Source organism: Homo sapiens, chromosome 14 (assembly GCF_000001405.40).
Source record: "Homo sapiens chromosome 14, GRCh38.p14 Primary Assembly".
Lineage (NCBI taxonomy): Eukaryota > Metazoa > Chordata > Mammalia > Primates > Hominidae > Homo > Homo sapiens.
In genome coordinates, this window is record NC_000014.9 from 30,489,229 (window position 1) to 30,514,138 (window position 24,910).

The following is a 24,910-nucleotide window of genomic DNA, read 5'->3' on the forward strand; positions in this document are numbered from 1 at the left end:
ATAACTCTCAGGATGATCCCCTGGTGGCACCAGAAGTTCTAAAACTAAACTTTATAAAATTTTTATGTTAAATTGCCCAGCATGATTAGGACAAAATTGCCTGCTATACTCAATTAACAGTAGTGGGAAAAATATCAATAAAATTCTGAGTATGCCAGTGATGCATAAGTTATTTGTCACTATCACAATCCTGGTATAGTTCTAAAAAAATAGAACATGCAAGAGCCCAAACCCCTATTCTCTACGGACATCTCCAAATGATTTTCATACAACTTCCTGAAATGGGTTTTGAATATCTTCTGGTCATTCTTTACATATTAGGGATGGATTGAAATAATCCTTACCAGAGAGTTGTGGCTCTTAGGGTAGCAAAAAATTACTTGATTTTGTGTTCCCAACTTGGGGGAATGCTAACATTTATCTCAAGTGACAGGACAGCCTATTTTACTAGGACTCATATTAAATAATTTTGCAAAGCTCTGTTGCTTACTTATAAACTTCACAGTCCATATTACTCCCAATCTTTTAGAAAAGCAGAAAGAATAAATGGAATTCTGCAGTTCAAATTAGGATAGTTCTTAAGACATTTGAGCTTTCATGACCTAAAGTATTTTTATTGGCTTTAATGACAATGAAATCAACTCCTTGAATTCACTGACTCTCTCCTTACAAATTATTGATATATTGTCCCATGAATCTAAAAATATCATCTCTAACGCTATACACTATTGCAAGCAGGCATAACTAAATACTGAAAGAGATTTATGCAATATACTCAATCTCATCATCAACATTTGTGAGCAGCCCTTCTTCAACATTTTCCTAGACAATCCTTGCATAACATAAAACTTAGAGACCTAATTCCTAGAAGAAACATGAGAGAAAGACAGCCCTTAAACTCCAAAGTAAAGACTCCATCATGTTCTAACATAGCAGTAAAACTTCAAAGGACTGATTCTTAGATTCACGTGTCTCAATGAAAAAGGGAATAATCATCCATGAATCACTAAAAGACTCTCCCAACCAGCAATCTCAAGCTAAAGATTCTCAGAAACCCTACAAAAGTAGACAGTCTTCAGGAGATGGCTTTGCCCAAAATCTTTGAACCAAATAAATGTCTACCTGTTATGTCAATAGCCTCCACCCAAAAGCCATTGAACAAGACCAGCGACTGCCCACTTCAATACACATTCTTTGGCTCTATTTTCCTAGTAATTTCTTCTTTTGCTGGTCTTAAGTCTATCTTTATGTTACCTATGAAGCTTTATTCAATGTCGTTTTTTACATTTCTAGTTACTCAGTTCCAATTTATGTATGAACTGGCTAAGCCAAAACCACTCTGACTATTGGATTTGTAGACATTTTCCTTTGGAAGCCACCCAGCTTCCCTTGGTACCAGTTCTTTGTAATAAAGCATTGGTTTAGTGGGTAATTGAACTCAACTAATAATTAAGGAACTTTAGATAGCAAATACCACAACAGGCCAGAAACACAGAAATCTAAAATGCCCTGTTACATTGTATTAGGAAAGGGAGGTTCCTGTCTCCACCAAATACTTGAGGACCTATTGTGATAGCTAGATTTTATCACTAAATTGCACAGATGTAAAATGTTAAAGAAAACTAGGAAACTAAAGCTGTGTATTTGGAAGTAATCTCACTTTTAAAGTAATCTCACTTTTACTCTCAAGTAAGACACACTACAGACTGCACCACAAATTATTTTGCTTTAGATAGGCCTAATGTTTTTGATACACATATTTATTGCATGGCACCAGACCATTCTTGACAAGTGGCCCCAAAATGTTACAATATTATTTAAAGCACCATATGGGTGTTTAGGGCAAAAAACATATTAACTGTGGCCCCCAACAACTGGTATTGGATTTGCTGCATGAAAGTCAATTGACCACTAGTTGCAAATTGGACAGTGCCTAGTTACTTCAATAAACTAATGCCTGACTTCGGGATAGTTCCAGGATCATTTCGAGCCATCAGATTCCCCCTCTCAGGAAAAAGGGATTACAGTCATACTCTATATTCTAGGGAATTGGTTCCAGAAACCCCATGGACACCAAAATCCTCAAATGCTCAAGTGCCTCACATTAAAATTCATACTATTTTTATATGACCTATACACATCCTCTTATATACTTTAAATCATCTCTAGGTTACTTACGATACCTAATACAATGGAAATGCTAAGCAAATAGTTGTTTTTACTTATTGTTTTTAAATTTTATATTATTTTTTATTGTGTTATTTTTATTGTTTTTTTTTTCCAAATATTTTTGATCCACAATTGGTCGTATCCACTGATGTGAAACCTGCAGATACGGAGTGCCAACTATATAAGGTAATTTAAGATTACAGGCATGAGCCATTTTTTTTTTTTTTTGAGACAGAGTCTTGCTCTGTTGCCCAGGCTGGAATGCAGGGGTGTGGTCAACAAGAGGCCCATAGTTCCCAGGGCTTTCCACCATAGGTCTCAACACACTTCTCTCCCCAAACACTGCTGAAACATCACAGAATGACCTTTGGTCCTTCCACAGACAAGGTAGCTCATTCTCCCTCAAAAGAACATGAGTTCAAGGCCAGGCGCAGTGGCTCACACCTGTAATCCCAGCACTTTGGGAGGCTGAGGTGGGCAGATCACTTGAGGTCAGGAGTTCAAGACCAGCCTGGCCAACATCATGAAACCCCCATCTCTACTAAAAATACAAAAAATAGCCCAGCATCATGGTGCATGCCTGTAATTCCAGCTTCTCTGGAGGCTGAGGCAGGAGAATTGCTGGAATCCGGGAGGCAGAGGTTGCAGTGAGCCGAGATCACACCACTGCATTCCAGCCTGGGCAACAGAACAAGACTGTCTCAAAAAGAAATAAAAGAAAAAAAAAGTGGCTCACACCTGTAATCCCAGCACTTTGGGAGGCCAAGGCAGGTGGATCACCTGAGGTCAGGAGTTTGAGACCAGCCTGGCCAGCATGGTGAAACCCTGTCTCTACTAAAAATACAAAAATTAGCCGGGTGTGGTGGCATGCATCTGTAGCCCCAGCTACTCGGGAGGCTGAGGCAGGAGAATTGCTTGAACCCGGCAGAGGTTGCAGTGACCCAAGATCATGCCACTGCACTCCAGCCTGGGTGACAGAGCATGACTCCAACTCAAAAAAAAAAAAAAAGAACATGAACTCAAAGGCCAGATTATCTAGACACCTAAGGAGATCACCTATTATAATAAAAGTCAACAACATGAATGACACACACCAACTGAAGTGAAAATATTGAAGTAGACATGACAAGAATATAAAATAAACAGAATAAATAATACTTAAACAGACAAGGTGACAAATGATATAAAATAGGAACAAGAAGTTTTTTTTTAAAGAGTGGGGCCAATCTCACAAAAGAATACATTAGAGGTTTACAAAAATATCTGACCATCTTTAGCTACTTAAAAATCAGTGGCAGGGGCCAGACACAGTGGTTCACACCTGTAATCCCAGTGCTTTGGGAGGCTGAGGCAGGAGGATCACTTGAAGCCAGGAGTTCAAGACCAGCCTTGGTAACATAGTGAGAACTTGTCTCTACAAAAAACTAAAAAAGAAAAAAAAAAACATTAGCTGGGTATGGTGGCATGCCCGTGTAGACCTAGCTACCTGTGGGGCTGAGGCAGTGGGGATAACTTGAGCCAAAGAGTTCAAGGTTGCAAAGAGCTATGATCACACCACTTCACTCGAGCCTGGGCAACAGAGCAAGATCCTATCTCTAAAAAATCAGTGATATATTGAGGGAGGGATATAACATATTTAAGCATGTTATTTTACTCTTAATCTAGTTATATTCTGGTGGTGTAGATAATCTAGTTGAGAATTAATTTTTTAAAAAACAACTGGAATTGTGGGTCACAGCTAGGACTAGAGATTCTATTTAAATTTTTTGTGTTTCCTATTCCCTGTATATCTTAAAAAAAAAAAAAAGCAAGCAAGCAAAAAGCCTTGCTGGCATGTATCTGAAAAAAAAAACAGAGATATTCCAGAATCAAAAATGTTGTTTTCTGTGTTTTTCTATATTGAAAGCATATTGCTTTAATAATAAAAGAAAACTATTTCCAGAAAATATTCAGGGTTTCTTCTCCTCCCTTGGAAATGAAAGAGACTATTTAGTTGTAACAGTCCATTGATCACAGATTTTTAGCTAAACCTGCTGCTACTAAAAATCAATGCTAAGTGAGCAATAGGTAATATTTCCCCACGCCTGTATTTGATTTCGACAGTTACGTTCATCCATACCAAATTCATACATTGCAATGCACCAGTGTAAGGAAGACTTTGCTTTTTGGCCTTATTTTTGAATTGAACTCACTATGCTCCACTCTGCATAAATGATCTATAGCAAACTGCACAACACCTTTATACATAACTTCCTTTAAAATGCAATTTGAAATGACTGCAATTGTTATAAATGGAAAATGCCAATAGGATTGCCCAAAGAAAATCTAGTGAGATACATAACAAATAAACCAAGAGTATTTATATATTAGAAAAACTGTAGCTCTAATGACTCTGAAATATGGTACACATAAAAACAATTTCTGTTTACAATTCTTCTTTTTAAAGCTTCTGATTCCCATACAAACAATTTGGAAGGTAATAAGCAAAGCAAGATTGAACTCTTAATCTTCCATTTCCCCACTCTCTGTCTGGACCTCTTTTAGGATTCCCTACTTTGTTGACTGACATCAACATCCTTTCAAGCCCACAAGTCATTTGTGATACCTCTCAACCCCCATATCCAATCCACTACCAAGTCCTGTGAATTCATCTGCTGGATATCTCTCAAATCTGTCCATCACTCTCTGTCTCCACCACCATCATTCTGGAGTAAGCCATTATCATGCTGGCCTGGACTACTGCAGTAAACTAACTTGTCTCCTGGAATCCACTGATTCATTCTTCAAGCCATTCTCCAAACTATAGCCAGACAGGACTTTCTTGATTCAAATGTGATATGATCTATATCCCCATACTTTGCTATCAAAAAAAATGAAAATATTTAAGCTAAACACATTAAGAGGTAAATATTTCTTGCCAAGCAAGGAAACATCTGCAAGTGAAAAATTCACAGGTAGTTCATTGAGCAGGGGAAACTCAGAAATGTGTGTGTCAGAAAGGGAGAGTTATGGTGTTTGTGTTAATTAAGCATTGAAAACTAGCACTCTGCATTGGCTAAAGATTGTTCTTTACATAGTTGGTTAAAACAAGTGAGTTCCGTTGTTCATTGGTCATGAAAGAGTCTTCAGTTAGATTCAATAAGGATCTGATATCCTACGGGCCCCCTGGTCACTCAAATTCATGATCCTTTATTAGCTTGACCTGGTGGAATTATCTGTGATGAAACACAGCGGTCAGTTTTAATATTTCTCGTGCAAGTACTACTGTTTGGAAAAAAATTTTCACTTACATTTAAGTGAAATTCCCACTCCCAGTATTGCAGGCTTCCCATTATTCTGCGATCTGATTATTTTTACTTCTCCAGCCCAGTCATGGTCCTCCTTAATTCCTGCCCACACTGACCTTGTCTCAACACTCTTCCTTGAATATTTAGTACTCCTTCCTACTACATGAGTACATACTGTTCCCACCATCCCACTGTTAAGTTGGCATCCCTTCAGCTTAGTTAAATTGGCATTAAGAACTCAACTGTCATATCTTTTTCCCCATCCCTCCAGTGCAGGTAAGACTCTTTCATTACACACCTGCCAATAAAACTTGTGTCTATCCAGGAGGACATTTATCTCAATTTATTTGATTAGTAGGCTTAGTTAATTAATATCTGTCTCCTCCTCTTGACTAAAAGCTACCTGACAACATGGACCGTATTTCCCTTTGCTCACCATTGTATCTTCGGGAACCTCCTAATGTGCCAAATAGAATAGTGCTCAAGGCCGGGCACAGTGGCTCACATCTGTAATCCCAGCACTTTGGGAGGCCGAGGCGGGTGGATTACCTGACGTCAGGAGTTCAAGAACAGCCTGGCCACCATGGTGAAACCCCATCTCTACAAAAATACAAAAATTAGCCAGGCATGATGGCAGGTGCCTAAAATCCCAGCTACTCAGGAGGCTGAGGCAAGGAGAATCACTTGAACCTGGAAGGCGGAGGTTGCAGTGAGCTGAGATTGTGTCACTGCACTCCATCCAGCCTGGGCAACAGAGAGAGACTCTGTCCCAAAAAAAAAAAAAAAAAAAAAGAATAGTGCTCAAAAAATATTTCTTGAACGAATGGTTGAATGAATAGCCTATGTTTACTGATGGGAGTTTGTGACTATAAAATATTTTTTAAAAAGGGAAATTTTATGAAAGTCTTAGTTTGCTCTGTTTTTCATAAAATTTAATTACAAAGGTATGAAGACATGATCTGTAGGTTTGGTAATATAGAAGAAGCAATGGTGAGAAGAAAAAAAAGACACAGAATCTTCCGTTATTTCCTGAAAGCTGTCATTAACTTGAGATTTTGAGAAGTCATTCTTGGACTATCCCATCAGCTATATTACCTGATGCCATCATTTTAAGTCCTCAGGCTCAGGTTATACTTAAATCCATAGTACCCACATAAATTCTTGGTTTCATTACTTTTTGCTGGTTGATTTCACAACTTTAATATTAATTAAATATAGCCATTTTTGTCCATGTGCCTTTTGTTTCTAATAGCTTTAGCTTTTCTTTTTAACATGGTAAGCCTGTTCTCCAAAAAGTTTTATGTAAATATATTTTTATTGATTTAGCAATTATCTGATGCAAATGGACTTAGAAAAAGGATGCCTGAAGAAACGTAAGGCACTAATAGCACTAAAACAATTGTAAAATAATTGAAGCTCCAAATACTGTCTGAGTTTATGGAGTATTTCTTTACAATAAGAATTATGAAATTATAGGAGGAAATTAGATTATGTACTTTATTAAGCTATTATCTTCCAGTACTTAAAATCATTATAGTCAGGCACTTTTTAGAAATTGCATTACTATTATACATGACAGATTAAACACAAGTTTATTTCTACTCCCTCCTGAATGACAGTGAAGAAAGCCTGCAAAGACAAACAGAACAGAACACATCACTAGATACGAATTTGGAAGCTGAAAAGCATATATAGATGGATGATGGTACTGATCTGGCAGGCCAGAGAAAGCATAAACTTGAGTCTGGAGAATGAAGCCAATAGGAGTCAAGCCGGTTCATATGCTCTCAAGCCTGGGAATTAGAAGCACCTTGGAATGGTAGAGGGCAAGGCTATAGACTGAAGAATTTGTTGAAAGAACCTGTAAATAGCAATGAGAGTCCCAGACCCCCTCTTCCAACCAGCAAGTGAGTTCACTTTTCCCACCCTGGCAGAAATTATTCCCTGGCAAGATTAAATCTAAAGAACTCTGGTCTTGGGTCATCAGATACAGCTAAGGGCAGAGGTGCTATAATTAAAACAAAAAATGACTAAAAATCCACATATTGGATGGTAAAGCCCAGAGCTCTCTTCTCTCATATGACTCCCAAAACACTGGCAGCCAAGTTTATATCTTCCCTCAAGAGAAGAAATTGGAAGACCAGCCCAAAAGAAAAATCTATAGTTGCTGGAATTTAAGACACCCTCACAAAAAGGCCAATGCACCCCCTACAATCCTACACCAGTCAGTAAACACCAACTTCAAAAGTTAGATCATCATATCAGCATTTTAGTGCATCATTCTTAAATGTAGAAAACCAAGGAGCATTTGTCAAAATTCTATCATTCTCTCAAGGCCCTCTCAAATGTCACCTTCTCCAAGAGGTTTTTCATGAGTCATCAATTTAGTGTGGCATTAACTATAATCTATCTTGTTGTGTAGTCATTGTAAATATCTTAACATCTGTTAGGCGGGTGGCTCTCTCCTTGACAGCAGGAACATGTTTATATATAACCAGTTACCTTCTGAACAATCACTTGGCTATCATACTTTCCTCAAACATGTCCCAAACTGAACTCATTATCCTGCCTTCCAAACCTGTGTTCTCTGTCTCACCAAATGGCACATCTATCTACCTGGTTGCTCTTGTCAGAAATCTAGCACCTCCTCTATTTCTTCATATACATTCTTTCAACAAGTTCTGCTCATTCTACTTTCTATATGTATCTCAAATACATCTCAGCTCCATTCCCTTGCTGAAAACCCATCAATGGCTTCCCATCCCATTTGAAATAAAATCTGAACTCCTTAAAAAGGCTGATGATGCCTTACACAATCCAACTTCTGCCTTCCTCTCCAGCTTCAAAGCCTCCACACTCTCTCTAGAAATGGAAACTTTGTAAGACTTCTTCCCTCTACTTGGAATATTTTCTTCCTACTCCTCCTCTAACTCCTACTTACTCCATAGGCCTCAGACAAGACTGCCCCACTTTCATCCCCAAAATATATCAGGTATCTATATTATCTTTCTGCTTGGCACTCTGTAGCACCTATGCTTTCCCTTCATAGCATGTATATTCATTTATTAAATGAATACAGTTATTCATTTAATATCTGCCTCATCTATGACCCCACAAACTCTGTGAAAGCAGGATGATGGCAATTTTACTTACTACTATATCCACAGCACAGGACATAGTCTGTAATAGGCATTGAAATATTTGTTGAATAAAGAAGCGAATGACCATGTTTAATTTGCTTGAAAGACCAATGCCTGGTGAGTGCAGGAATTGAAAAAAAAAAATCAGACAGAAGAGACATTATCAAAATGGAATCTTTAATATGTGGAAAACAAAGGAATGAATGAAAGATGGATCTCACGTCTGCTGTGACTGGGAAATGGACAGGGCCACTAAAATAAGTGGAAGAGTTAGAAAGACATGCTGTTTTGATAAGGAGATGATGAATTTGGATTTGGATAAGTTGAGTTATAGAAGCCAATTCCATTTAGGTTAAAAATGCAAGCATGTAATTGGGGATATAGGTCTATACCTCCGAAAAGAGGCTGAGATGAGAGATAAAGCTATTTTGGAGTCATCTTAGTAGTGCCAAATATTTCATCAGCAGCGACTTTCAAGTAAACATATACAGTTAGTGAATCCTGGACTTCCTTTTATAAGATTTCTCACACTTAAAATGACTTATTCAATGCCTGTCTCCTCCCACTCAACTGTAAGTTTCATGAGGACGGTATTGCTCTATCCTTAGGAAGGAAGCCACTACAGTGTAGGAAGTCTGGGAACAGGGTGGTATGGAAAGCCAAGTCTTAGGCTGTTAAGTGAAGAATTACTCCTTTTCTCCACTAGCAGTATTAGCAGCCATGCCAAAGAAATTCCCATTGTATGGTGAGTCACCATTGTTCCCCCAGTGGAATGAACAAATGATTTTAAATCACTCAATTGTCTAGTAGCATAGTTGTAATTAAAATGTGTGTTTCTCAGTTCAATATCCTCTCCCTGGTGTACAGCTATTATACAATGCACACTTCTACTAAATATCTACCTCAATTTACCCCACTGCGAAAAGAGATTATCCCACTATCTCAGGTACTTTTAAGATACAATTTGTTATTTAAAACCCCAGAGAAGTCTAGACTTGGAAAGCGTATACCCAGAGACCCGCTGATATCTTCTCGCTCTACTCTTATACACAGAGATTTGTATCTTGCCAAGTTGGTTAAAATTGATTCTCAAGCTCAAGTTATGGCTATTTGATTATGTTATATAGATGCAACTCAAAGTACTTCATCAGAAGTTTTGAACATCAGGGGCAACAGACAATCCCTATGATTAATCCATCTTCTATCTACAGATAATATGGTAACAATGTGACTTATTTTAAAATAATTTTATTTGATAAAAATATACCAGCACTCTCTCTCTTTGTTAATGTTTTTGCCCCTTGACTTCGATTAAATTCAACAAAACGTGCTTGAAGCATAAAGGCATTTAACAAATATTTCCTAAAATGAACTGAGAAGTACCGTTACAACATTCCCCATTTCTAGAAGATAAAGTAATATGGAACCTACCTTCAAGCAAAAATCCAAGATTCCTACCATTAACATTAATCCAGTCCTGATCTACTTCTCAGTCTGTTTTACTTTTTGTGAACTGTGCTATATTATGAAACCTAAAATCAGTGTTGAGAAAACTAAATTATATGCCTACATTTATACAAATTATATAATTGTTCACATGGTGGATTATTACAGAATATTACCAATTCATTAGTTACAATAAACTTCTTTTCCAAAGAGTTATATAAGAATATAAGACACACATGGAATTGCTTCATTTTCAGCTTTTCCCCCACAGTACAAATCATTTTTCTCTGTATAAGATGTCACTATCTCTCCAGCAGGTTAATCCCAGGAGGTTTAGCAACTGCAATTACTACATTTAAATATTCCACATATCTGTCAAGACTTCAAAGAATTCTGTGGTGTCAGTTTAAATATAAATATATATAATTCTAGTTAATCATCACTTAAGGCAGTTTTGAAAACCACATTACTTACTGCTGCAAATTTCAATGTTATATTGTGTATGTTGTATAGTTTTCTATATTGCAACTCTTTCTATTAATTTATTGGTTAAGAAAATGTCCATACTGATTCTGCCAAGCATAAGTAGTCTCTTTATATAGAAAATACGTAGTTTCTCACTAAGGTAAACTTGTCAAGATCATTTTGTCTAATCATGGAAGAGAAAAGAACACCAGAAAAAAAATCACTTTATGCTTTACATAGGGCTCAAAGTCAGGTTTGAAATCTCATATAAATACAGTATTTCAAGAAAATGCTAGCAAAACATATTACAAGCTTTTCATTTGTTTCCTCTGCTTCTAAAGGAAACCTTTATATTTACCAGTGACTACACTAATGGTCAATAGCTTTCATTCTTCTGTTGCTTTTTAATGTAAGTGTAGATTTTGTGCATTTTGTAAATTCATCTTATAAACAGCTTCTGTGACCCTCAATGAAAATCAAGCATTTTGACGGTGTAGTAACTACAGCTACATAATTTTGCACCAGGATGGGTCATAGGGTTGCTATATTTACCTTTAAGTTAGATTTGTTCATGTGTCTGTATTTATTTATCCTACTTGAATAGCCCTTACAGTGAAGATAAAAGTGTAATTATTATTACAACAATGAAACCTTCAGGGTGCCAGAACCTAATATCCTAGTGCCCAGCAACCATAACTAACACCAGTGAATAGCACTTCAAGGCTTTTAATCTCCATGACAACCTACCTTGCATTCTTCAATAAAATACCACTTTGCATGCATACAAACATATTCTTTATACACAGCCTACTTGTTAATAAATATCACCTGCACCGAACACCAAAAAAAAAAAACCCAAAGCCTTCTTTTTAAATAACTCTAAGTTCTCCCTATAAAACTAATTAATTGAACTCAGAAGGTACTTAATTTATATCTTTACATCCATAGCACACCTACACAACACGCCACCAAAAGACTTTCTGAAAGAGATATTGAAACTGATACCTTCTTCAATTTGAAATGCTATTCTACCCCTAAAGCCTTCGTGGGTATTGTATCAAAAACACTTTGCTGTCATGAGTAGGTCATTTCATTTTAGACCTAGGCATTGCTGATGTTCTGCCATGGGGTGAACTACACTGCTACAGGCTTAAGACTTTGTTTATTCCCTCAACTGTTGAAGACAAGTCTCTCATTTTTAGGGTAAGACTCATAGGTTTGTTGATTGTTCTGGCTCTTGCCTTCTTCTTTGGGACCCAGCTTTTGTTCATTTTGCTCCTTATTAATTCTTACAATCAAGAACAGATCAGAAAGAACTGGGAGAGAAAGCCTGAAACTTTTAGGGGGTGGTTTTTCCCACACACTTTACTTAAAGTTACCAGGGTAGAAGAAAAGGAGTGAAGTAGAAGTAGTATCTAAAGCGAGATTTGAGAGTCTCTGTTGATCTGGTTTATTCATATACCATTTTTCAAAAGGAACGAAACTGGCTTATTGCATAGAACCTTATCATCTTTTAAAATTGTCCATCTCAGGTGGCTTCTGTATAGATCAGGAAGCCATCAGAAGGAGTTCTTGTACATTCAAGAATCTCACAATGCAGGCCATTGAAGAATCTGATCAAGACAGATAACAATTCACTTTTTAGATGATATTTTGCTTTCTTTTGAAAATTATTTATCCTTTTGTGTCTCTGGTTCCTTTTTAAAATGGTTTCTTTACTCTGTTGCCTACTTAAGAGACTAAGGTTCTATTAATTACTATACTGATCACATAAAACTCAATAGAATTTGAAAAGAATATTTTGAATATAACAACCTATCTAAAGAAAACAGCTAAAAGGCCTCTTTCATAAATATGTCAAAAAATAAATTCATATTGTCTAAACTAGCATTTTCTTCCAGATAACAGTTTAGGTGTACAGAAGTGGAATTCTTCTCATTACGCCAATAATGTCCTCAATGCTATAGTCTCACCTTCCTAAAACTAAAATAATGTGGAAGCAAAGCCTAGCCATGACTCCTCCTGTCTAGATAATTTCAAATTAGTTGTACTCATCACACCCATAAGCCACTATTTTGTTTTACCTGCACAGGATGACAAGTCTATTTCGCTGTCTCCTTTTTCATAGTTTCATAGTGGCAGTGTTTTCAGGACTCCGAGGTTCATTCTATTCATTACATCAAACAACCGGTACAAAATCAAAAAAGCAATTATGCAAACACTGTAACGAATTCTAACAAACATTTTATTAAAATAATTCATTGTTCTCTTTGAATTTTACAAAACAACCAATTTAAGTAATTTTTCTTTTTATTGTATGATATAACTGGATTGTTTTTCCTCAATTGACTGGCTATTTTGTCATGTAAAAATAGTTTTCAGTGTATTAATTATCACATGACTACAGCAGACAACAAGGCAAGGGCCTATTTTAGGGTTCTGAGAGCTTAGGCAACCAGGCATACTTTATAAAATCACATGGATCTAATGTTGTTGGGATTTGGGTCAGTCTAACAATGATGGTTTTTCTGTTTATGTGACAGCCCTTCCAACTATGCTTTGACCACTTTGAGGTCAACACTGAGAGCCAACACTGTGTGTCTTCCCAATATTCTCTAATTTCCAAAGCAGTGGCCACCATATTTTTTTAAAATGCATCACAAATGTCTGTTTAATTGAGCCCAGTTGAACCCCAACTAAAATCACTTTTGAGCACAATATTCCAATTAGTTTCTAGCACATTTCTTGCTTGGTATTGGTTAGAAGTCTTTTGCATTTAAAAAATTTAAAACTGGCCCACTTAAGCAATTTCCAATTGCTTTGATTTGGGCATTAAAACAGAATATCAACGTTTCTATTTTTGTGTCTTTAAATATTGCTGTGAATAGTAATAATGCATCCTCAGCAGTAGCCTCATTCCCTGACACTATCATGGTGAGAAAAGCACTATAGTAAGACCCAGTAACTCTGATTGAAAATAACACTTCCCCCACTATTTTTAGGTGAATGTAATTCTTACAAGAAATTTAAAAGAAATTATGAAAATACCATGTAATTTTCCTTCTGCCTTCAGGAAAAATAAAACCAACCCCCCACCCCCAACCCCTGCCTCAAAAAAATTCTGGTCTCTGAAAAGTCACCAAAGAAGAAGACTTTATGTGACTAACTTTGTCACACATTCCAGTGATTCACAGCACTTATATGTAACCCAAATTTCAAATGCAGCTAAAACATAAACTTATCATTTCTTGGTTAGCCCTCGGTAAGGCTAGTAAGATGTCTTCCTATGTAAGGAATAAAATAATTCTCAGGCCCTTTGTGGCCTTGTTTACTGCAAGCCAAAGAATTGAGAGCTGCAATTGTTCTTCCCATCCCAGAATTCGCTTCCGACCAGCCAGCAATTTAATGTTTTCATTTTCCACAAGCTGTTCACCAAGCTCTCAAAGGCTGGGTTTTGCCAAAATTAGTGAGGTATGAAGGCAGCCATGCCCCACCTTCTGTATTTATGTGTTTATAGTTGCTGTTTATAGAATCAACTGACTACTCTTTCAGGTTATGTAGAGATGCTGCTTGCCTGTAGATTGCTGGTAAGCAGATTCTCTAAAATCAAAACCCTGAATTTTAGTGTTGCCAGTTTCCATGGTGCAAATGTTCCCATCTTTGCTGATGTCATAATACCAACATGAGGTCACTGAACAGGAAGTTAGGAAAAGATGCACATCCTCTGCTCTCCTGAACCAATAAGAGCCAGTTCCAAGACACCATAACTGATTGCTATATTTTAGGATTTTTTTCTGATTATAAAGGTAATTGGCATAGAAAATTGGAAATAATTAAAAGTAAAATGAAGTAGAAAACAATACCTAGAATTCTAAAAGCTAGAAATGCCAATGATGTAATTGTTAATGTGGGACACGGTACTACTGCCTACCACAAATAACCCTTATGTGGAATTCTAATAAATCTGGATTTCAGTGTATCTTTCTAGAAACCATAGAAATTTCAATATATGCTCAAACTGAAGCCATTCCTAATGGGAATATCAGAAAAAGAAGAACTTGGAATTCAGAAGGAAAAGTAAAGAAACTGGTTAAGAATTAATAAAGGCTTTAGCAGTGAACTTTTAAGATAGCTAAAGCTGGAAGAAAATAAACTCCGAAGTTCAAACTGTGTTCCTGTATTTGTTAGCTCTCAAGGGAATTGAGGGTGAAGAAGGAGCTAAAGGCAGGAGCTTTGGCAAGATATCATCAAGCCAAATATCAGATAATCTCATATGTTTAACTAAGCTGAGTTAATTAAATAATGATTGCCCAAGATTTTTCCACCTCGAACATCCAAATAACGACAGATGTCTGACACCAAAAACACAACCCTAGAAGTTGGAGTCAACAGTTCAGTTCCAAGTCCTATCACAAAAGTATTAAGCACGGAAATTATCTGCAATATAGCAAAACAAATTTAAAATGATTTTGTAAAAGAATGTAGAAGGAAGGAGACCTTGAAGCATGAGAATGGTAATAAAAATATTATTGCAAATTCAAGATATATAAAGTGATGTGGGTATCTCCTTATTTATGGTGCTATGCTTATTTTTTTAAATAAACTTCAAAAGCATTTACAAAGTATTCTAAAGAGTTATCATTAATTATGATTCACTATCCATAGCTCCAAACTGTTGAGGTTTTCAAAAACTTAAAATTTTTATAGATGAGTATTTCTTTTACGTATTTCCCTCAAAATATACTCTTTCTTTGCACTATGATTTTATTGGTGAGACAATTCATTAATTGTGTGGTATTTCTCTAGATTTTACATAGCCTAATTCAGCCCATCTTTTAAAACAAACATTCTTATTGAAGTAAAACATGGATAAAGTACACAAATCTTAAGTGTCCAGTTCAATTAGTAACAAAGTAAGCACACTGATGTAAACAGTACCCACAGCAAGAAATAAGAACATTATTCAGCACTTTGAAGGTCCCCTTGTATACTTATCCAGCACCTACTGCCCAATCTTCCCTAAAGAAAACCACCATCCTGACAACAAACACCATAGATTAGTTTTGCTTTTTTGAACTTAATATAAATGAAATTATTCAATTGCATTTTTTTATATGTGACTGGGTTTTCATTCAGTATTATTTGTGAGGAGCATCCTTATTGTTGTGCATAGTTATTTATTCATTTTCATTGCTGCATAATGTTTCATTCAACACTATTTCTGACACTTTTAATCTATTATACATTTCGTGCTTATTGTTTGCCTGGTATATACTTTTTACATCCTTTTCTTGCAACTTATTTGGTCCTTTTTAGAAAAAGCAAAAAAATGTATCTCTTGCAGACAGCATACAATTGGGTCTTATTTATTTTAAACAGTCTGACAATCTCTGCTTCTTACAGTATTCAGCATAATAATGATATTCAATGGTATACCTAAATCGAACTATATTTGGTATAATCATATCTTTGGATTTAGATCTACCTCATTTTGCTATGTTTTCCATTTTTCTCATCTATTCTTGTGATTTATGGGTTTTTTTTTTTTCAGTTTGTTTGTTTGTTTTTTGTTTTATTTTTGAGAAAGGGTCTCAGTCTGTCGCTCAGGCTGGAGTGCAGTGGTGTGATCTTGGCCAACCACAGCCTCTGCTTCCTGGGCCCAAGCAATTCTCCCACCTTAGCCTTCCAAGTAGCTGGGAGTTGTGCGTCCCCACACCTGGCTAATTTTTGCATATTTTTGTAGAGATGGGATTTCACCATGTTACCCAAGCTGGTCTCAAACTCCTGGGCTCAAGCAATCCTCCTGCCTCCGCCTCCCAAAGTGCTGGGATTAACAGGCGTGAGTCACCATTCCTGGACTATTCTTGTCATTTCTATTCCTCTGTTCCTCCTATTCTGACCTCTTTGGGGTTAAATATTTTTAATAATTTTATTTTAATTATTCTATTAGCTTTTTAGCTATACCTCTACTCCTAGTGGTTGATCTAGAGATATGCATCTTTAACTTGTCACAGTACATTTAGAGTCAATATTATACCATTTCATTTAAAATATGAGAATCTTGCAACCAAATAGCTCTGTTAACCCTCTCATTCCTTGTGCTATTGTTGTTATTAAAGACCCCAATACAGAAAACAGTACTATAATTTTTGCTTTTAATAATGTCTTTTAAAGAAATTAAGAGAGCCAGGCACAGTGGTGCATGCCTGTAGTCCCAGCTACTTGCAGGCTGAGGTAGGAGAATTGCTTGAACCCAGGAGTTCAAGTCCAGTCTGGGCAACACAGCAAGATCCTGTCTCTATTTAAATGTTTTCTGGAAGAGATAGATTAAGAGAAAATAGAAAAATATATGTAGCCTTTTATATTTACTCAAATATTTATCATTTTTAATGCTCTTTATCTGTTCCTGTATATACAAGTTACAATTGTGTCATTTCTCTTCCATCTAAAGAATTTCCTTTAGTATTTCTATATTACAGTCTTGTGGCAACAAATTCTCTTGGTTTTTGTTTATCTTCAAAGGTCTTTGTTTCATCTTCATTTTTGATGGATAGTTTTTCTTGTTTTAGAATTCTTGACTGACTTTTTTTCTTCTTTCAGTGGTCTAAAAATGTTCCATTGTCAACCGGTCTCAGTGATTTCAGAGGAGTAGGCAGTGGAAGCAGAATGCTTACTGTTATTTCCTTGTTTGTAATATATTGTCTTTCTCTGGCTGCTTTCAAGATTTTCTCTTTCAGATTTATGATTTTGACTATGATGTGCCTAGGTGTGGTGTTCCTTATAATAATTCTCTTTGGAGTTTGTTGTTTCTTGGATCTGTAAGTTTATTTTTTATAAATTTTCAACCATTATGTTTCAGGATGTTTTATCCTTCCCTATTCTATCCCCTCACCTTTGGGAGATCAGTTTACACATATATGAGACCCCTTGATATTGTCCCGTTTGCCTCTGAGACACTATTCATTTTCCTTCATTCTTTTCTTCTTTTTGTCTACTCTTCAGATTAATAACTTGTATTGATCCACCCTCAAGTTTACTGACTGTTGTTTTCTGCCATCTCTAATCTACTTTTAATCTCACCCATTTAATTTTTAAATTTAATTAATGTATTTTTCATTTCTATAATTTTTTGGCTCTTTTTTTAGTTTCTTGTTCTCTGCCAAAATTTTCAGTTAATTTGTTATTTTTCCTTTAAGTTTTTTTAATGCATTTATAATAGCAGCTTTTAAATATTTACGTTTTAATTGTAGCATCTGAATCATCTGGTGACTAGATCTTAATAATTGCATTTTCTCCTATAGATCACATTTTCCCACAAGTTTGCATACCTAGTTTTTTATCGTATTCTAGACATTACAAAAGCTATATTATAGAGACTCTGGAATTTATATTCTTCTTAAGAGCGCTGATTTTTGTCCTAGCAGGTAGTTAACTTGGCTAATCTCACAATCTGAACTCTATTTCTCTAGTAGTGGGCAGCAGCTAAAATTTCTGCCCAATTCTTTCATATTCCAGCTGCTGATTTTCACCAGGACACTGGAGTCTCTTGGGCATATATAGTAGTCAAGTGGGGGTTTGGGTGGAATTTATACACAAATTTTGAAGTTCCCTCCTTCCGCAGCTTCCTCCTTTCCAGGAATTTCCTCCTCAATCCTTCCAGCTTCTCTGCCAATCTAGAACTCACTTCCTCTTTTACCTCAAGCCAGTAAAACTGCAACTTTCTGTTACCCAGAGCCCATGAAGTTTGGTACTATGGGGCCTCAGAAAACAACACTCCAAAATGAAGGCCACAGAAGCAGACTCACAGGCAAAGGTTTTTCTTTGACCCCTCCTACCCTTGTATCTCTCAGTCCCGTTCTTCCCGGAGGCCAGCCACAGAAACTAGAAACCGTATTCCCCAAGACAGTCATAGAAACCAGAAGAACCCCTTCACCCCAAAGCCAACCATAACACCTAAAATATTCTGTGTAAGAACTAGCCATAAAGAAATTAATCTGACCTACGTTGTTTGCCTGTAGGTCATAAGACCCCCTATTCCAAAGAGGGTCCTGCCCCACACCCAAAAGGAAGGAATACTGCTCGGAGAGGCCAAGAATCCAGACAGACAGGCCATGCTGGGCTTCCCCACTCAGTCTATTACTATTATATTTTTGTCCAACCATATTTCTACATGGCTGTTTATAATTTATTGAACCTAAGCATTGAAATGGACAGTTTCCTCTATATCTTTGGGTCTTCATTCTGAAGGCTCCTGTGTATACTCATTAAATACATTTGTATGCCTTTTCTCCAATTAATCTGCCTTTGCCAAGTTGATTTTTCAGTGAACTTTCAGAGGACCAAGCTCTTGGTCCCTACAGGATGTACCCTCAGGCAAAAAGGTGCATACTCACAAATCTCACTGTTGCAATTCCTGTCTTTCAAAGGTAGACTCTCTCTGGTATCTGAGTGTTTTGTTGGTCTCCAGTACTTTCAAATGGGTGGTTAGGGTGTGGAGAGAGGTGTAAATATATCATATATAATAGTTATCTGTGCGAAGGTTATTCTGGTTAAATAACTCTGCCATTTCTGAAAGTCTGAGTAAATACATATTTTCACTTTCTGCTTTTTTCACTTAACATTATATCATCTGGCTTTTTGTGTGTTATTTACTGTGTGATGTTGCTTTATGTGCTCTGATTAGCTGTATTCATTACATCTGTTGTTCATCTGGATTCAGAGCCTTTAATTCTACCTTCACATTTCCTATGTGAAGTCCTAACATTGTTTTGTACTGTCAGTTCAGTCTGTAAAACCTGGCAAAGCAGTTAGAAAATGAAACACCAGTCATTTTACGTCATGAAGCCAAATTGAGTATTTTAATCAATTCAACTTTTAATAATATGATTTGATCCACATAATAGTATATTTCTAATTTACAGTCAACAAAACCATTTCCTTGCTTTTCTCATAGTAAAAAATATTTCATTTCTCTGATTTTAAAAAGTTGATTTTTGTTCTTCCATTATATAACTTTATGGGGAAGTGTTGTTTTTCTCTTTTATTTTTCTCAGCAAATTTTAGCATAAGAGTAATTTGTAGCATTTTGGAGTTATCATGGCAAAAAGTTTACTTTTCTACAGATCACATGAAAGTTTATTTAAGAAAGACTCAGCTAAAGTTTCTTTATTCATTTATTCAGCAGATGTTTCATAAGGGTTTATTGCATGCGAGACAGTATGGGAGGTACAAGGGATATTAGAATAAATAAGACACCATTCAGAGCCTCCAAAGGCTTATAATCTCTAAGGAAAAACAGAGAAGTCATTTAAAATAACAATAAATTTAAATAAGTACTATCAGTGATAAGGATAAGAAGAAGAAATGAAAAAATTCACAGGAAGGAAGTGTTTCCTTCTGCTTGGAGAGATCTAGAGAGTCTACTTAAGTGTCAACAGTTGTGCATAATCTTGAAAAATGACTGTTTGCCAGAAGCAAGAACTTGAGGAAAAATACCACACATCTGGTACACTGCAAGTACTTTGTCATAATAGGATATACTAAGCAAGCAGAGAAATGGCAGAATATGAGACTAGAAAAGCAGGCAGGGGACAAATGAATAACAGCCCTGTGAATTATATTTGGTATAGAAGTATCTGAATTTTATTCTGTGGATGATGAGAAGTTATTGCAAGATTTTAAGTAGGATTAACATAACGAGATTTGAGTCTTTGAAATATTACTCTGACTGCAGAGTGGAGAATGGATTACATCAAAGGCTGATACAGACGGGATTTGGCCCATAAGCCATATTGTTTGCCAACACCTGGAATAGATGATTCCTCCCAAAGCAACGAGATTAGCTAGAAACCTATTGCAATAGTCCAAGTGAGTTATAATGAGAGTTTGAATCAGAGCAGTGAAAATGAATGTGCAGAGGAGGAGAAAATTCTAGAAACATTAAGAAAGACTTGGTGACCAATTGGATTTTGTGGCTACTTGGGGAAGAAATTTAGGAGGACCTTCTTGAACAATACTCCACAAGCATAGGCAACAAAGGAAAAATGGACAAATGGGATCACATCAGGTTGAAAAGCTTTTGTGCAGCAAAGGATACAATCCACAAAGTGAAGAGATAACCCACAGAATGGGAGAAAATATTTGCAAACTCTTCATCTGACAAGGGATTAATAACCGGAATGTATAAGGAGCTCAAACAACTCTATAGGAAAAAGTCTAATAATCTGATCAAAAAATGGCCAAAAAATTGAATAGATATTTCTCCAAAGAAGACATACAAATGGCAAGCAGGCATACGAAAAGGTGCTCAAGATCATTGATCATCAGAGAAATGCAAATCAAAACTACAATGAGATATCATCTCACCCCAGATAAAATGGCTTATGTCCAAAAGATAGGCAATAACAAATGCTGGCGAAGATGTGGAGAAAAGGGAACACCAAACACTGTTGCAGGGAATGTAAATTAATACAGCCACTACAGAGAACAGTTTGGAGATTCCTCAAGAAACTAAAAATTGAGCTATCATATGATCCAGCAATCCCACTGCTGGGTATACACCCAAAAGAAAGGAAATCAATATATCGAAGAAATATCTGCACTCCTATGTTTGTTGCAGCAATGTTTACAATAGCTAGGGTTTGGAAGCAACCTAAGTGTTCATCAACAGATGAATAGATAAAGAAAATACAATACATATACACAATGGAGCACAATTCAGTCATAAAAAAGAATGAGATCCAGACATTTGCAGCAATATGATGGAACTGGAGATCATGATATTAAGTGAAATAAGCCAGGCACAGGAAGACAAACATTGCATGTTCTCACTTATTTGTAGAATCTAAAAATCAAAATGATTGAACTCATGGACATAGAGAGTAGAAGGGTGGTTATTAGAGGCTGGGAAGGGTAGTGGAGGCCTCAGGGGCAGTTAATGGGTTCCAAAAAAAACTAGAAAGAATGAATAAAACCTATTATTTGATAGTGCAATAGGGTGACTATAGTTAATAATAACTTAGTTGTACATTTTAAAATAAGTTAAAGAGTGTAATACGATTGTTTGCAACTCAAAGAATAAATGCTTGAAGGTCATGGATACCCCATTCCCCAAGATGTGCTTATTTCAGGTTGCATACCTGTATCAAAACATCTTATATACCCCATAAATATATACACATAGTATGTATCCATAAACATTTTAAAAAATAAAAACAAAATAAAATAATAAAAATATTTTAAAGAAATTTAAGAGGACGCCAGGTTTGGGTGACTTGAACAATCAGGTTATGATCAATAAGAATGAAAAAAAAAAAAGAGGATCAAGAGATCAGTGATCCAAAAACCTGACCAGGTCACAAATTACAGGTTTGTTAATTGTATTATTACAATACATTAAATATTTTAATCACTATATAATGAACATATTTTCAATAGAAAATTGTATTTGTCCACTTAATCCAAAGAATATGTTTGTTATAGAAAACTGAATTTGCTCACGTAAACTGCAATGAACTAACTCACAAGTCTCATTTAGTTTCCCCTGAGGAACAGAAAATTTCAGATTCCCTTGGTTTAGCTTTTTCCTTGAGGATTTTTGAAATAAAGGCTACTTCTAGCTGCTTCAAACCTGCTACACCCAGTGTAAAAGCACTTTCTTCCACATCCTGGAAGCCCCATTTAAATACAATGCTGAGCCGATGGACCATAAATGCAACCCAATGTGGTAATTCCTAAATTCCTATTTAACACACTTGATCTCCAACATTTTAGTATGAATAACAATTAGATCCTGTGAGACGGGGTGTTTATAGTATAAAAACAGGATGAAACTCAGAAAGAAATAAAGCCCCAGAAAATCATCAGTCTATGTAGCTTAGTTATAGTAGCTGTACTTCATTAAATTCAGGTTCATTTTAGTTCATATACGTTAGTATTCTGCAAAGTTTATTGCCATCTTCTCTAGGCATTCATTTTCTCAGATAGGATAGTTTTGCTTTTTTTCTTTCCAAATCTTACATTAGTCCCTGTCTCTATAATTACTATTCTCTAGATTTATAATTGTTCCACTATGTCTTTCTTGAGTTGCAACAACCAGCTATGCACACAACCTTCCAGGTGTGGATTCACTATACTTCTATTAAAAGGTAGGATTTTATTTCCCCTGTTTTCTATTCTATGCCAGTTATGTGAAGCATTTTTATTGTTTTGGGGGCTCCAAGACAAATTAGATTCTCAAGGAAACTCTATTATTATTAATGTCATCAGCTAATGTCTTAGTCTGTTTTAGCTGCTACAACAAAATCAGAGGCTGGGTGGCTTATATACAACAGAAACTTATTTCCTGCAGTTCTGGAGGCTGGGAAGTCCAAAATCAAGGTGCTGGCAGATTCAGTGTCTCTGAAATGGGCCCATTTCCTGGTTCATAAGTGGTGCCTTCTCACTCATCCTCACAAGGTGGAAAGAGCAAGGCAGCTCTCTGGAGTCTCCTTTATAAGAGCACTAATCCCATTCTTGGGTGAAGAGCACTCATGATTTATTCACCTCCCAAAGGCTCCACTTCCTAATACTATCGCCTTTGGGTTAGGATTTCAACATACGATTTGGGGAGGGGGAGGAAATATGAACATTCAGACCATAGCAGCATACTAAAATTTTTCCTGTCTATATCCTGTTTCAAGTTATTATAAAAAATATAAAAGCAGTCTGCTCCCATATACAAAGGACCAAGCAATAAGACCAAAGCAGCTAAAAACATAAAACTTAAACTAAAAAGAAACTCAGGAACCACTACCCTTATACTTCCCAACCAATTAGTTTCAAATTTGAATTTGTGACCCTAATTATGTATATAAAAGAGACAAAATTGGAAACTAAACATTGTTTTGGCTTGCCAGGTGCCAAGTGAATAATGTTCAAAAAAGGTTTGCCTTGCCTTTTATTAACTACACCTAGGGGAAAAAAACAAAAACAAAAACAAAAACAAACTGTGCACTGATTACTAAGAGCTAGTATGAGTTCTTTGAGAAAGTATGCTGCTAGGAAGTGACTGAATAAGAATTACATGAAACTAATCTGATTTTTAATTTTCTCACCCTGCCCCACCCCCAGCTATATAATTACTGGCCTGGAAAAGTCAAAAAGGTGCTGTAAACTGAGTGTATCTATTTTCGGCCACAGACAAAGAAGATTGAATTAACCACACTCCTCCATTCCTAGCATAAGCCTTGTGTCTTGTTTATTGTTGTTTTATTTATTTTCTCTCATCCCCATACCTCTCTCCCAATCTCCTCAACCCCATAGCACCTATTTTAATTATTTGAATATATATCTTTTGTGTCTGTGTTCTTTCCAAATGGATATTTGTTTGCACATAATTATGCACACACATGCACACACACATATATAAAACTCTGTAACTTTCATTACACAGTATGTCTGTAAGATTCATCCATGTTGCCATGCAGATAGCATACACCTAATATATTACTTTTAGCTGCTGTTAAAGCAGCATCAGATATTTCCCTAAGATATTTGGCAAAATATCTCATGTTATCTTTAAGAATAAGATGGATAGACTGAAACTGTGGCAGCAGAGTACAGGGAAATTCAAAGTTGGAAAACAATATTAAAAGTGTGTTGCTTTGACAGATATCCCAATTATGCAAACTATATGAATGTATTGAATTATTACTTGCATCTCAAAAATATGTATGTCTATTATGTATCAATAAAAAAAGTAAGTGTGTGACTTAATGTAACAATGTCAACCTCTCTAAAGGAAGTTACCAAACCTGTCCTTCGGCCACATTTCAATACTCAATAGCTACACATCATTAATGGTCACCATATTATACAGCATAGATGTAACATTTCCATCATCATGGAAAATCCTACTGAAACACTGTTCTGGAGCTATGCCCAAATTTCCTCATCCACATTGTTACCAGCTAGTCAGGAAAGGAGTTATTGGTAATTCTGGAAGAAATAACTAATAAGATGAATTTAAATGTCAAGATTCAGAAAGATCACAATAGGTGATAATGTTAGCCATACACTGAAAAGCTTAAATTTAATAACAGTAACTATAAACCCCTGCACTTAGATTCAAAGTTCAAAACACAGTTGCTCAAGTATAACATTCAAGGAAAAACCTACCCTGTTAGAAGTTCAAATTTAAAAATCCTAGCGGGTAGAAATGGGGTGGTGCTGTTAGATAATCATAAGCTTACTCTGGGCCAACAGTGTGCCAAAGTGGCTAAATGTAATTCAAACATAGCCTACTAAATGGGAGGACAGTGTGAAATAGTGCCTATGTAGGTCCATCTCTATGCAGAGAATCATGTTCATCTCTGACTGTAATGCTTTGAGAAAGAGCTATCCAAGTGTATTAGTCCATTTTCA

General features: G+C 36.1%; 2 long non-coding RNA genes across 2 annotated transcripts in view; one reads left to right on the forward strand and one right to left on the reverse strand.

The window, feature by feature from the left end:
* The window catches only part of G2E3-AS1 (G2E3 antisense RNA 1), a 139,366-nt gene that overhangs the window by 51,237 nt on the left and 63,219 nt on the right, over positions 1-24,910 (reverse strand). The gene's annotated exons all lie outside the window — the stretch shown is intronic.
* LOC105370432 (uncharacterized) lies at positions 14,212-23,966 on the forward strand. Its single transcript, XR_943713.2, has 3 exons — positions 14,212-14,313; positions 22,560-22,653; positions 23,618-23,966. It is a non-coding gene; the product is annotated as an uncharacterized LOC105370432 (long non-coding RNA).